This window comes from Homo sapiens, chromosome 1, assembly GCF_000001405.40.
Source record: "Homo sapiens chromosome 1, GRCh38.p14 Primary Assembly".
Taxonomy (NCBI): domain Eukaryota; kingdom Metazoa; phylum Chordata; class Mammalia; order Primates; family Hominidae; genus Homo; species Homo sapiens.
In genome coordinates, this window is record NC_000001.11 from 157,260,444 (window position 1) to 157,274,632 (window position 14,189).

Genomic DNA, 14,189 nt, shown 5'->3' on the forward strand with positions numbered 1-14,189 from the left:
CTGTGACTTTTCCTACCAGGAGTGGCCCTGAGGCTACAGACTATAGCTTGGCCCTCTTAGAATCTCAGCTTCACTCAATATCAGAATCCACTCTAACATTCTCCTTTACTTTCAGTTGAGCTCTTACAGATGAAAATAACCAAGAGATTATATTTTTAGCCTTTTTCTTGGTACTTTTCATTTCCTTATGCATCCAGTGAGCCTCCAATTCATGAGCTGAATCCATCATTTCTAAATTCTACTACCAACTTTTACATCTAGTAAATAATCATAACATAGGTGCAGCTCCATACCATAGATAACCCTGTTTCCATGCAGGAACCAAAGGTTCATTATCCCTTACCCTCTCATTCTTCCTCCTCCCAGACTACACATTTTTCTGTCAGGGTCATTCTAGTCAATCCACTTCTGATGCAAACGATGAGAGTTGGACCTGCTACAAACTTTGTGTAGTTAGGTTTTATGTTGGGGTCTATCCAAGACTTCTCTTACTTCAACTGCAAGTTCAGAGAGTTCCCAAATCACCCTGAGGTTCAATAATTTGCTAAAGCGTTGCTAAGTACTTACTGAAGCTACTGGACTCAAGGTTATGGTTGATTATTGGGAAAAATACAGATTAAAATCCGACATAGCAAGAAATTCATAAGTCAGAGTCCACAAAAAGTACCAAATGCAGAGTTTCCAGTTGTTCTCTTCTCATGGAGTCAGGACACTTTTCCTTTCCAAACATTGATGTATGATGATACTCTTAGAGTATTTCCAACCAAGGAAGCTCACTCAGGCCTCAATGCTGAGACTTTTTGTTGGAGTTCCATCAGGTAGGCATGATAATTGATTTTCCAGGTGACAGGTATCAGTTTCCAGCTACTCCAGAGATCAACTGATATTGCATAATTCAAACTCTTACTTTAAATCATGTTTTTTGGTCTTTCTGATATGATCAACCATACTTAATTCATGCTACCAGTGACCCAAAGCTCCTGGCAAACAGATGCTCCTATCAGGTGTGATGATCCAAGGAGTAAAAGATTGCTTCCCAGAAGCCAAGAGAAGAAGTCAGACCTCTCTTTGGGAAAGGTAAAAATCCTTTAAAACACACATCTGGAACCACCAAGTCTCCCAGGGATTGCTGAGGGGCTTGGTGTACAGGGCATAACTTTATCACTCAGCCAGGAAGTTGACTACTTTGTCTTACTGTCACTTCCTGCTTGTGCAGAGCTTCAAGGTCAGAGATGATGAGAGGTTAGGGTCTTCTCAGATTTTTCCTAGGCAGGCGTACAGACCTAAAAATGCATACAATCCCACAATTGCATATGACCGTCTATGGACATCTCATTCCTTAGCTTTTCCTGTTAAGATATGTGGTGAGTCTATTGTTTGCATCAACAGTTATTCTCAGCTTCAGGAAGCCAAAAAGTTTAACAATTGCCTGTAATTGCTTTCCTCAAGTGCCCCACAGGTAAAGGGCTATTAGAAGTAAGAGGGCTCTCAGTCAGGTGAAACACACATATACTTGGAAGTGGGGTCTTCCAAGGTACCACAAGACAGGTGAAATAATAACAATTCATTGGGAATGAGACTTAGAGAGAGCTCCAGCTCCATTCTGCTCCCTCAGGTGCATGCTAGACTTCTGGCTTCATCATGAAAGCAAGCTGTTACTTCTGAAGGCTACAGTGGAGTTGCAGAGTGATGCTGTGACTAGGGAAAGTTAGAACACTACATAATGTCCAGTTCTCAGGTTCCTGCAAGTCATTGGTTAATTGTCAGAGCTTTGAAAATGTTCTCTATAAAATCAGTAGGTACTCTTGCTCTCTTGCTGTTTTTAAGAAAAAGAGAATTTTCAAATTTCCTCAAATTTCCTTAAACTATCTTTTTACACTTCATATTTTAACATATGTTGAATTTTGTTTTTTTCTATTTATTGCTACTGTTGTTCTGTAATTTTGTACTATTCTCTAAGGATCCATTGAAAGGATACACCATCCTGTTATTGTTTTCTAATATTTTAATTATTTTTTAATTCAAAAAATTCTACCAACACATAGTTGGGTTACAGAGGAGGAGGGAAGAAAGAAAGGAAGGATATCAAAGGTCAACTGTCAGTCTACATCTACTGCTGTCTGCTTCTCTCCCCCAACCCAGCTGTGGGACTACCGTGCTGCAAACCCCACAGGCTAGACTGATGACTCTTCTCTTTAATCCAGATAAGGAGGTCAGGAAAAGGCCATAACTCAGAGCTTCTACTCCAACCTTTCCTCTACCTAGACACCTAGACTTCTGCCTAGGGCTGCAGTTCCCTCTCACATCAAAAAACAGCCATTCTGTCTCAACCCAGAGTCTCACGATCATGTCTTGAGTTTCTCAGAATCTATAGTCTTCTTTCCCTCCTGGCATCTGTCTGTGGCTGGGCTGATGTTATAAAGCCTTTGCCACTTACCCTAGGCATGAACTTGGACAATTGGGATCTCTCTGGACATCCAGGATCCTATATTGTCTTAGTCTGTTTGGTGCTGCAACAACAGGTTACCTGAGACTGGGTAATTTATAAGGAATAGGAATGTATTTGGCTCACAGTTGTGGAGGCTGGGAAGTTCAAGATCAAGGGGCTCCATCTGGTGAGAAGCTTCTTGTTGCATCATCAATGTCAGAAGGCAGAAGGACAATTGAGCACATGCAAGAGAGAGCAAGAGATTGAACTCTCAACCTCAAGTTCTTTTATAATTAGCAACTAATTTATTCATGGTGGAGCACTCATGCCCTAACACCTCCCATTAGACCCCACCTCTCAACACTGTTACAGTGGGAATAAAGTTTCTAACACATGAACTTTGAGGGACACATTCAAACCATAGCATATATTATCTAGAAGGTTAATGTAATGGTTAGTCAACAGGGTTATTTTGAGAATTCAATTTAATATATAATGTAGATCCATTAAAATAATACATATAAACCCACTGATATAGTAAATATCCAATAAATATATTCCTCTTGTAACCCAACTCCCAGCTTGAGTGTCCTGTTATTTGGGATTCAAATAAAATATATGTGACCACCCATCCCATGTCTTATAGAGGTCCAGAGCCTTATCTATACATTTGCGAATTCCTAGGAGCTTATATTCCCATGGTCACCTCTCAATCTCTGTTCTTGACTCTCCATCACACTGAACTTTACATTGCTCTCTTATATGTTACATACACACACATGCACACACACACATGCACACATGCAGACACACACACACGCACACACATACACACACTCTGCTGCTTCAGATCAGATCAAGGTCTGCCTTCCTTTATATCCCTAAAATATTACTGGCACCAGGCTGCTGAATATATAAAGTCTTACTAAAGGCTCTGCAGGTGGTGTGTGTGCATGTGTATGTCTTTGGACAGGATAAATGAACACTGAGATTAGATTAAAAGCCCTGTCATTTTGGCAGTATTGAATGTCTATTGGCTGACTCTCCAGTGACACTGGTCTCCAGCCACACAGCTAATTCTCTCTCTCCAGGTTCTTCCTTCCCCAAACCTCTCACTTATATAGTTTTCCAAACCAAACAATTCCCAAACAAAAACTACCTCCTGGACTGGACAAGAAGAAGAAGGAATGGGATAAGGGCAGGAAGAGATGGAGAGGGGCCTTGAGTTTGGGAGAACACTGACTTTCATGGCCAAAGGTAGACACAGGCACTGCACTGACCCCAGTGATGTAGGTCCTGAAAGCAACACCTTCAGTTCACCTTGAGGGGAGCTGAAGGGACTGGATGCTTCAGCATGGAGGAGCCCACGTAACACCTCCATAATGAAGCCTTTCCTGATTCCACCAGTGAGAGTGGCCTGTCTCTCCTTTGAACTGCTTTGCATCATTTGTTGTATATACAGCTTTTGTGAGATTAAACCTTGTGATGAGGATGCTTCATACTGAGTCTTTACAGACCAATGTGAATGTGACTCCCCATGGTATTGATCACATCTGACTCCTGGACATGTCCCTAGGGCCTTGATCCTAGTAGAGGCTTGGTTGAGTGCATTAATTAATAAGTAGGAAGAACCTATCTGACAGGGTGCTGCCCTTGAAGCCATGGCATAAGTAATTCTCTGCCCCCAGTGAAGACAAGGAATTGTTAAATTTAAGTTAAGCAGGAGGGAGGCAGGTCAGATACAAGGAAGAACTTACAGACTCAGTAAACTGGTTACACTAACAGGCAATGGCAAACCAAACAAACACCACATCTTTGAAAGGAGAGAGGAGGTAGCTTCTGTGGTGCCTTCCCCTGGTCCAGCACTGATCTGAGAGATGAACAGAATGAGGACGGAGACCTCATCAAGCTCCCTGGGGCTGATCAGAGGCCTAGGGTAGTGGCTGTGGGGCAGGTTAGGGCTCAAATGAGGCCCTGATGCAGTTCATGGTCACAACTCTGCAGCTGGAGGAAGTGAGGGAGCCTGGATGGCACCCTGGCTGGGATTGTTTAGGGCATTGATCCCAAGAAAGAGAAACCATAGATCCAGCACTTTCTAGGTGCCAGACATGGCACACTAGATGCTTGGGACTTTATCGTATTTCACCAGAGCAGCAACATAGGGAGGGAAGCCTTACCAGCCCCAGTTTGCAGAAGAGCAAGCTGTGGCTTAAATTTGAAATTTGAACACAGTTTTACTATACTTGGCTACCTTTCTAGAATCAATGGGATAGAAGGGGTGGATTTCATTTAAAAAGGAAAGTTCTGTGGTTCTCTCATTTGTTCTTACTAAGAAAACACCCCTTTTTCCTATTTCAAATGCCCTAGGTGTCTGCACCTGCACAGCCAACATTTCTGGGTCACATGGTTCTGGAGTGAAGGATTCTGAAGCCCACGTTCTTCTAAAGGGAATCCAAAGAGGTTCTTTCTTGTTCCATGTGATCAAAAAGTCAGGAGTAGCTCTAGGAGCCAAGCTGGTGGAGGTTTTGTGTGGCGTTGGACCTTAGTCCGACTACACAGTTGTGCCGCAAGTCCCCAGGGGTGGCAACTCATCATTTCTGCCACATTGAGCAGCTCTCCTTGGCAGCTTACCATCAAGCCGTGACTTGGCCCATGGGCTCCTTCCATTACCTGGCAATACCCCACGGGAGTCCTTTGCTTCAAGCCACTGGGACAAGGAAAGTCAGGCATCTCTTCATCGTCTCAGCCTGGATGTTAAGCAATTTAACATCTCTTAATCGTCTCAGCCTGGATGTTGATCAATTTTCATTGATCAAAACTCAATCACATAGTTCACCAGACTTTGGGAGAGTCTAGGGAAAATGTAATCTTCCTGTGTGGCCACAAAAATACAAAGGACATCATCTGATGGATGTTACCTCTATCCTCATAGATGTTTAAGTAAAAACTATTGAATAATTGAATTAATTTACTTCTAAAACTGGGTCTGCTTTGATTTTGTTCTTCCTGGTGTAGACTTGTAACTTGTACATTTTTTAATAATAGCACTTTGTGGTTTTTATTTCTTTTTGGGACTGTTTTAATAGGTTATACTTTTCTAGAAAATGATCCACTAAAGTCTTCAAATATAGTAGCCTAAGTTATTTCCAGTATTAGCTTTGTTTTTGTAATCTCTGCTGCCTTTATTGCTGTGTTCTGTTTCTTATTTCTAAATTGTATTGTTTGTAGGCCTTCTCTTTCTTTTCTGTGGTCATTCTTGATAGGTTTTTTTCTATTGTTTTGTCTTCTTAAGAAGCCAGCATTTGGCTTTGTTGACCAGGTCTGCTGTATCTTTATTTCAGTTGCATTCATTTTTCCTTTTATTCTTATATTCAATTTCTTTTATATTCTCCCAGTTTTTTTCTTTCTAATCTTATGAAGTGGACAAGTTGCTCAGTAATTTGTAGCCCTTTTTGTTTTCTAAGTTTAAAAAAATTTTCTAAATACTATTTCAACTATATCCCATAAATTTATACATATACTATTATTATTATTTAGAAAATTGTTTTGTAACTTCCAAAAATGATGACTTATATCATAATTTTCTATTGATTTCTGTACAGCTGGCATTGAAGTTGGAAAAGAATAATACTAGCTCTTCAATATTTATTGAAAGTTGATTTTGCCTCAGTATATTGCCAAATTTTATGAATCTTCCACGTGAACTTGAAAATAATATGCATTATCTCATTATTGGGTATTAAGTTTGGTATTTATCTATTAAATCAAATCAGTCAATTGTGTTGTTCAAATCTTCTCTCTTCTTCCTAATTTTTGTCTGTATGCTTTTTCAATTACTAACAGACTTGTGTTAAGATTGCCTACTGTGAAAATAGATTTGTCGTTTTCTTCTTGCAATTCTGTGAGTTTTGCATTATATATTATGAAAGTGTGTCATTGAAAGCATTTTTACACATTGCTGGTATATTTAGAATTGTTGTATGATTCCCTTTCCCCCTAATAATGTTTCTGTAAACTCTGGATTTCCATATTTAAATAGCTGGATTGTGGATGGCTGGATTGAGTTTTCTCTCTAATCTGTTCATCTCAGTTGTCTAATTAGTGAGATGTTTTTCCATTTGAGGTATTGTGATTGCTGATGCATATGGCATTATTTCTCTCATCTTATTATATCTTTCTATTTTTCTGTTTTCTCTATGTGTCTTTTCTACTTTCCTTTATGTAGTTAAGTTTAAAATTTTACTTTAGTTACTCCTCTGCTTTTGTAGAAGTTATACACTGCATTTCTCTTCATTTAGGATTTGACTTAATATATTAACACATATACCTAATTCAAATTCTAAATCAGTATCTCCACCCACTTCCAGAAATTGAAAAGGAACTAACAGCACTTTCACTCTTCTCATTTTCTTCTTATCCTAAATATTATCATTACCCAATATCTCTCTTCTATTTTTCACTGCAACAATTATAAACTTTTATTATTTTTATGCAACCAGTGGTCAAGTATCCTTTCTGTTTACCACTTTCTATTCTCAGCAATCCTTTTGTTTTCAACCTTTTCTTCCAGACCATTTTTCTTCTTCACAAAGTAGTCCTTTAGTGATTGTCTGTTGGTGATAAATGTTCTCAGTTTTAATTTGACTGGAAATGCCTTTGTTTTGCCCTCATTTTTGAAGATAGTTTACTCAGGTATACAGTTTAAAGCTGGCAATTATTTTCTACAAACCACTGAAGATATCATACAATATACATTACTGCTGGGCTATCATTTTCTCAACATTGCTTTGCAGATGGTCTGTCTTTTCTACCTCTAGCTTTTACACAATTTTATCTTTGTCTATGGTGTGTGCCTAAGCTGTAATACATTTAGCTTAGGTGGAGAACTGCCCCAAAGCCAGCGTCGAATGAGGATCTGAGAAAGACCAATGAATATATTAGGAGGAGATAAAGAACACAGTCGATGCTTCCAAGAAAACAATGTGTATAAGAAAAGATTAAAGACCCTTAGGAAAACCAGGCAGCCCATGTCTAGGGTAGGTGTCTGGGGCTAATGAAGCCTCCTGCTTCCACCACTGGGGCTGGAGCACCTCCCACCTCTGTGGTTCCTGGAGGCGCCTGATTCCACTGTGCCTAGGCTGTGCTTGTGCTTGTAGAGAAGCTGCAGAAAGGCAGATGAGGAACTGGGATGAAACTCTGATGGGAAGGTTTCTGTCTTCTGGCCTGGGAAATCAGCTAAGGGGGCTGACAGCTGCACTGTACTGTGCATGGTGTGGGTGTGAATTCTTATCACATGCTGGAACCCTGAGCCCAGGCATCATTCCATGTAGGGTCGTTTAACATGGGCCTCTAACGTATGCTTCTGATACCCCCTGGAGCCACCAGAACTTCAAATTCCATTCATCTCTTTAGCACAAAATTCTCCCTTGGAACTCTCCATAACTGGAGTTTTGTTGAAACTAAATTATACAAAACATTTTTATTATATTTTTATTGAGCATATTCTATCATCAGATCATTAGGAGGGGCTTCCTGAGTCAGCTGAAGTGCCTTCTTGTCTGGGAGTTTCCAAAATGTCCTTATTATTCTTATATTTTCTGTTGCCCAAAAACCTCCAACACTTTTGGGCCAGGCAGCTACTGCTTCAGGTGGAGGCCACAGAGAATGCAGAACTCAGTGTTCATCTTTGACTTTCAAAATGAGCAAGAGAAGTATTTTATTAATTATAGATAATATCAATGTGGGGGAACTCCCTTCCCCAGTCCATGGGGATGGGAAAGGAGAGAGGAGCAGAAAAGAGGATGGAGTTGAGGAGTCGGGAAGAGCCTTCCCTGGCTCATCCCGTTGTCGTCATCAAGCAGTTCGTCCTCTGGATTCGACAGTGATTAGCGTGATTCTTTCTCCCATGGGGCATTTTCATAGGTTCTTTAGATACTTCTCCTCCCTCGTGCTGGGAATCTGCCATCTATTCCTTTACAGGTAATATACTCAAGGGGTGAGCATTTCTGTCTTTTTTACCCCTGGTACATAGCTGGTCCATTTCTTTCTTTTTTTCTTTTTTATTTTTTTATTTTTATTTTTTTGAGATGGAGTCTTGCTCTATCACTCAGGCTGGAGTGCAGTGGTGTGATCACGGCTCACTTCAAGTTCTGCCTCCAGGGTTCATGCCATTTTCCTGCCTCAGCCTCCCCAGTAGCTGGGACTACAGGTGCCCACCACCACACCCGGCTAATTTTTTGTATTTTTAGTAGAGACAGGGTTTTACCGTGTTAGTCAGGATGGTCTCCATCTCCTGACCTCGGCCTCCCAAAGTGCTGGGATTACAGGCGTGAGCCACTGTGCCCAGCCCATAGCTAGTCCGTTTCTACACAATCTCTCTACTGGGGTTCTATTACTCCTCCTTTTGGCTCTCAACACAGTTCTGTTAAGTACTTGCATCTGGACGATGAAAAATATGTTCATCAATGGCACTGCAATTTCTTCCCTAGTGGCAGCCAATACTCTGGTACCATAGGCTATTTCGGCAGCATCTCCCCCCTTGGCTATCTCAGGTATGGATCAGACACCGTTCAGTGCATCCCCAATCCGCATGGGACATATCAAGCTGTCTGAATGGTATCATTGAACTTTGCTCACTAGGATCGAAGGGAGGGGTGGGTACCCATGAGGTGGGAAGGGGACTTGCAGCATAACTCTCTCCACCTTCCACCGTATCTCCAAATTCTAATCTCTTAATGTCATTGGTATAGGTGACAGCTTATGGGCCTTAAAACCAGTTTTCAGAAACTCCTTTGTAAATTCTGTATGTGGCAGGTATTTTCCCTAGAGGTTTGAATTTACCTTCCAAGTGCTATGAGAGTTGTGAAGGATCAGATGACGTGTGTGCAGAACAAGAGAAGGGAGTATGGGTGGTGGAGGAAGCTGAGAGACTTTGGTTGCCGTCTCTTCTCTAAATCTGGGGCTCTGTGGCACTTTCTCAGTGTATCACTTTGGGTAAACTGTTTCACTTCCCCAAGCCTGTTTCTCTGGCTGCAAAGTGCCCTGCCTGCCCAGTAGGTGCTCTGAAAGTATTGAGATAATGGATGAGGAGTGTGCTCTACAAGTGCATTAATTCTTCTGTCCCATTCTACCCCAGAGCCTGTGCCCCTTTTCCAGGTCCCAACCAGGTCACCGTCCATCACACCAGACTGCTGAAAATTTACCCAAGAGGGCAGGGCTCCAAGAGCCACAGAGGACCTAAATGTGACCTGAGAGAGAGCAAAGGCCTCCCCAGAGAGCTGGACCAGACAGGGATGCCAGGACCAGCCTACAACCCCGGGACCCTGGCCGTGAGCCTGCCACTGAGCCAGTGCAATGCCAGCCTGACCTGTGTGATCAGCAACCACGAGGAACAGAAAACTGCCACCTCAGACCTTGGGGGAAATGTGTTTAACTCAAAAAATTGTCCAGCAAGGGCAGGTTCTAGTTCTGGAGGCACCCCTTTCCCAGAAGATTGAGGGTAGGGTGAGGTGTTGCTCACCATGTTCAGGAAATGTAATATCCAACCTTCCTAGCTCCTGGGACTATGCCATCTGGGAAGACACAGAGATAGTAAAAGTTGGCATGTGCCCTAGGAAACTATGGAGGGGGATTGGGAGGGAGAAATCGGGGCATTTAAGACAGGAAAAGATTGCCAGGACTGGTGAATCCCTCTTGAAGTGACTTTGAGTGGACGTAGAATCCTATTTGTAATGAGTAGCCTCAAAAGGGAAGCCAGTATCAGCAGAGAAAGGTAGAGGGCTGAGCACTTTACTTATGACATTAGAGGACAGCTTTCTAGAGTCCTACAAACATGAAATGAAAGTTTTGGGACACAGAGATGGTCACTTGGTGCAGGTGTTATAAGTGCGGGAGTCAGCAAGACTCCATGGATAATTTCCTTCTGACAACACATTCGTAGAGTCTAGAAAACTCTCTTTGGCAAAATCACATAGGCTTATTCCCAGTCCCAAACCCTCAGGTGAGCAGAGTGCCTGGCACTGAGCCAACCCCCTGCAGGGAGTGTGGCAGCCCCAGGACCCAGGCACCCAGCAGCCTCTCTCTCTCTGCTCCCTGTCTGACCCAACAGGGACTGGAACTCCACTCTTATTCCCATTACTGTGAATGATGCAGGCCAAAGACCTTCTGCTCCTTGGGGTCCTAGGGAAGCTGGGAGTTGAGCTCACCTGGAAAAAGTTTCCAGCGGAAGAAGGGAAGTGAGAGCTGCTCACGCAGCCTTGACCACTGAATAAGACTTTACTTCCTATTCTTTATGCTCTATCAAGTTTCCTAAATCACAAATGAAAGCTTTCTATCTTCTGCCAAGTTTTAAAACATATTTGTTACCACAAAAACTCTCTATTCATTAATAGTTTGAAGGAATCCACTGGCAATAAAACTTGGCCCTTAAGCCATTGAAGGGAAAATATATCAGTTTCACAAGGTTGTCTGGATGTTTTTTGAGGTTTGTAAACACATGCAAATCAATTTTGTAATGTAGGATTTTCCAGAAATTATCATTTCATGATTGTTTTAAACTTGAATAGACATTAACTATGTATTACATCCTCTTAGAGACTTGTTGGTGTTGTTTTGCTTTCCTAAATATGAGAGGATCTTGCTGAAAGGCTCAATGATCAATTAGGTGAAGATTTCAATCTTGAGAGCTACAGAATTCCATTCACCAGTCCAGTTTTTCTTATTGAGTCTGTTTACCAGTGCAGTTTGGTGGTTCAGCTGGTGCTATGTGGTATATTAAGAGATGTCCACTTCCTCCACACCCTCTGCTAGAACTTGGAAATGAGGAAGATAATAGTGGATTGGGGTTTCTGGTGTTGTTATTGATGGTGCTGTTTGTGAATCAAATAAAATGCCACATACCTGAAACATAGGAGAGGTACAGAGATTCTAGCTCACTCAGCTGGGTGAGCTGACTTAATCTCACGATGAACACGATCAAAGAAAAAATATGTCATCCGAAGGAGGGTTAATAAGTAATAGAACATAGAAAGGTGAGTGACAAAGATAAATGAAGTGGTCTGTTAGGCTGGCAGGAGAAACAGTGCCCTGATCAGGTAAATCCTACCATGAAAATAGAGGGCTCAGACTCCAGAAGGCCAGTGAATTCCATACCAGCAGCATCTACTTACCTTCCCTGACTCCTGGATCTCCAAGCAGCCCACTGATGTCTTGGCTTCTGATGGTGCCTCCTCCAAAATTTGTGTTGAAACTTCATCCCCAGGGCAACAGTATTGAGAGGTGTGGTCTTTGGGAGGTGATTAAGTTATGTGGACTCTGCCTTGATGCATGGGATTAGTACCTTTATAAAAGGGCTCCAGGTTGAAGGGAGTACTCTCTTGCCCTTCTATCCCTACTCCCACATGAAGACACAGCATCCCTCTCTCTGTAGGATGAAGCCATGAGGGCCCATCTGGGAAGCAGAGAGCAGCCTCACCAGACCCCAATCTTGCCAGTGCCTTGTGATCTTGGACTTCCCAGCCTCCAGAACTATGACAAATGAATGTCTGCTATTTATAAATTACTCAGTCTCAGATATTTTGTTATAGCAGCACAAATGGACTAAGGCAGCTTCCTGTGTGGCCTTTCTTTGGGAACAGGATGCACTGGTCAGGCTAACAGGAATATCCAGTCCAGTTGAAAAGCATACTTCTTACTGTAAATTAATAAACAAGCATTCTAGTTTTGTCTATCCATGTCTCATGGCATTTGTTAGCAAAATTTTGCATCCCCAAGGAAAGCCAGAGCTGGGCAATGGATGAGATAAAGTTTCTGGGCTCAGTTTTAGAGTCTGAGGGCCAGACTCTGAACCTTGGTTAACACATCAAAGTAATGATAACCTGAGGGGTCTCATGATTCATTCCTTCACTCAACCAACATTTACTGGGCTGTGTTCTGAGGATTATTATCTTAAAAGGCAAACTCTCAGCCTCTGCTTACCACGTATGTTCCAGCTTAAATTTTATGAAGCCTCCATATAGATCAGATTTCAGTGCTCAACCCTGACCATGCCCACATAGACATGCACACATGCTGTTCCATACCACAATTAACATTTCACTGATGTCTTCCCATTTAAATATATAAAAATATAGTCATGTGTCACTCAGTGACATGAATATGTTCTGAGAAATGTGCCATTAAGTAATTTCATCGTCGTGCGAGCATCATAGAGTGTTTTTACCCAAACCTAGATGGTACAGCCTACTATCCACCCAGGCTGTATGGTATAGCCTATTGCACCTGGGCTACAAACTTGTACAGCATGTTACTGTACTGAATGCTATATGCAATTGTAACACAATGGCAAGAATTTTGTATCTAAAAATATCTAAATGTGGAAAAGGTACAGTAAAAACATGGTATAAAAGATGAAATATGGTACACCTGTTGTAAGGGCAGCTGAGAGAAAGGAAGAATAGAGCCAAAGTCAGGCGAGTAAGTTTACTGAACCTGCCAGGCTGTTCCACCACACTCAGAGGAGGCAGTGCCAAGCTTACAGAATGAGGGGTTTATATTGGGGAGGGGGTTTGAGGGAGCTTTTTGGTATGGCCGCATGCATTTTTTGGTATGGCTGGTTAATTTTGCCACATATCACCTGGTGACATTTATGATAGCAGAAACTTACAGGAGGGTAAAGTTTGTTTATGCTTCCCATGACCTCCCGCTGTGTGGTCCGTATGGTTTGTAATTGAGGTTTGCTTATAGTAGCAGGGCCTGTAAAGTGAAGTTTGCTGGCTTCACTGGGGCGCCTAGATAAGGGCTTAGAAATGTAAAGAGCTTGGGGGAAAGAGGGGGGTGGCACGGAAAGGAGTTGCAGAGTGGGGATGGGCGGGCAGCACGGAGAGGTTTCAAGAAGCTTTTTTGGGGCAGTTTGTCCCTAACATTCCAGCCTTTTAATAGGTAACAGAAGAGGGATGCCATTGTCTGGCTACTTCCTGCTGGGAAGGGGCGACGGTTATGGGGGAAGGCTGGATGGTAGGGACTGCTGTTCTTGGAGCCATTGGTATTCCTGGAACAGCATCATATTTTGTACTGTCCCATGGGTGAGGGCTCTGATACGGTCCTGTAAAACTGGGGTAGAAGGCGTAAGAGACAAGGGCTGAATGCTAGAAAAAGAAGAATGGTTATGGCCAGGTCTAGGAGGGGCGTTAGCCATGGAAACCAGGCACTAAAGGACCAGGAGGGCCACACTGGCCATCGGGAGACTTTGTGTGTGTGTGTGTGTGTGTGTGTGTGTGTGTGCGCGCGCGCGCGCGCTTGGTCCTTTTTTTTTTTTTTTTTTTTTTTACAGCATTTTGTATTAAGCTAGATGGGTTAAGATAAAAGTAACATTGTTTATTTAGAAAAGGGCAGAGTTCTCCATTTTTGGCTGTGAGGGGAGGTAAATATCAGTTGAGGTACCGCATAGGAAAAGTATGCCTTGGCTTGGTAGACACAACTGGTTGTGTATGCTAAAAAGATGTATTATTTTGTTATTTTTATGTATTCATAGGTATGTGGGTGAAATCTATTTGCCAGTTCTTTCTTGGGAGTGTTCCTCTTAGCTGGTGTGTAGGAATAGATGGGGAGTGGAGGGCTCCTTGAGAGGAGGTGACAGAGCATATATGACAGTTTGAAGTTATGTTTTTTAATGAGGTGAATAGGTGAGGGGATAAGAAATATGGGTGGAGGAGGAGATACAGGGGACGTGCACCAATACGGAAAGATTGGTGGAGATGTTAGG

At 42.3% G+C, this 14,189-nt stretch overlaps 1 long non-coding RNA gene across 1 annotated transcript in view, besides 1 other annotated feature; it reads right to left on the bottom strand.

The window, feature by feature from the left end:
* The window catches only part of LOC105371456 (uncharacterized), a 54,091-nt gene that overhangs the window by 35,121 nt on the left and 4,781 nt on the right, over positions 1-14,189 (bottom strand). The window lies entirely within an intron of this gene.
* Positions 12,938-13,480: an enhancer, noted in NCBI's record as "NANOG hESC enhancer chr1:157243171-157243713 (GRCh37/hg19 assembly coordinates)". NCBI's record gives its function as "activates a minimal SCP1, AML or CMV promoter by ChIP-STARR-seq in naive H9 embryonic stem cells {active_cell/tissue: H9 hESC(naive)}" and the evidence as "EXISTENCE:reporter gene assay evidence [ECO:0000049][PMID:30033119]".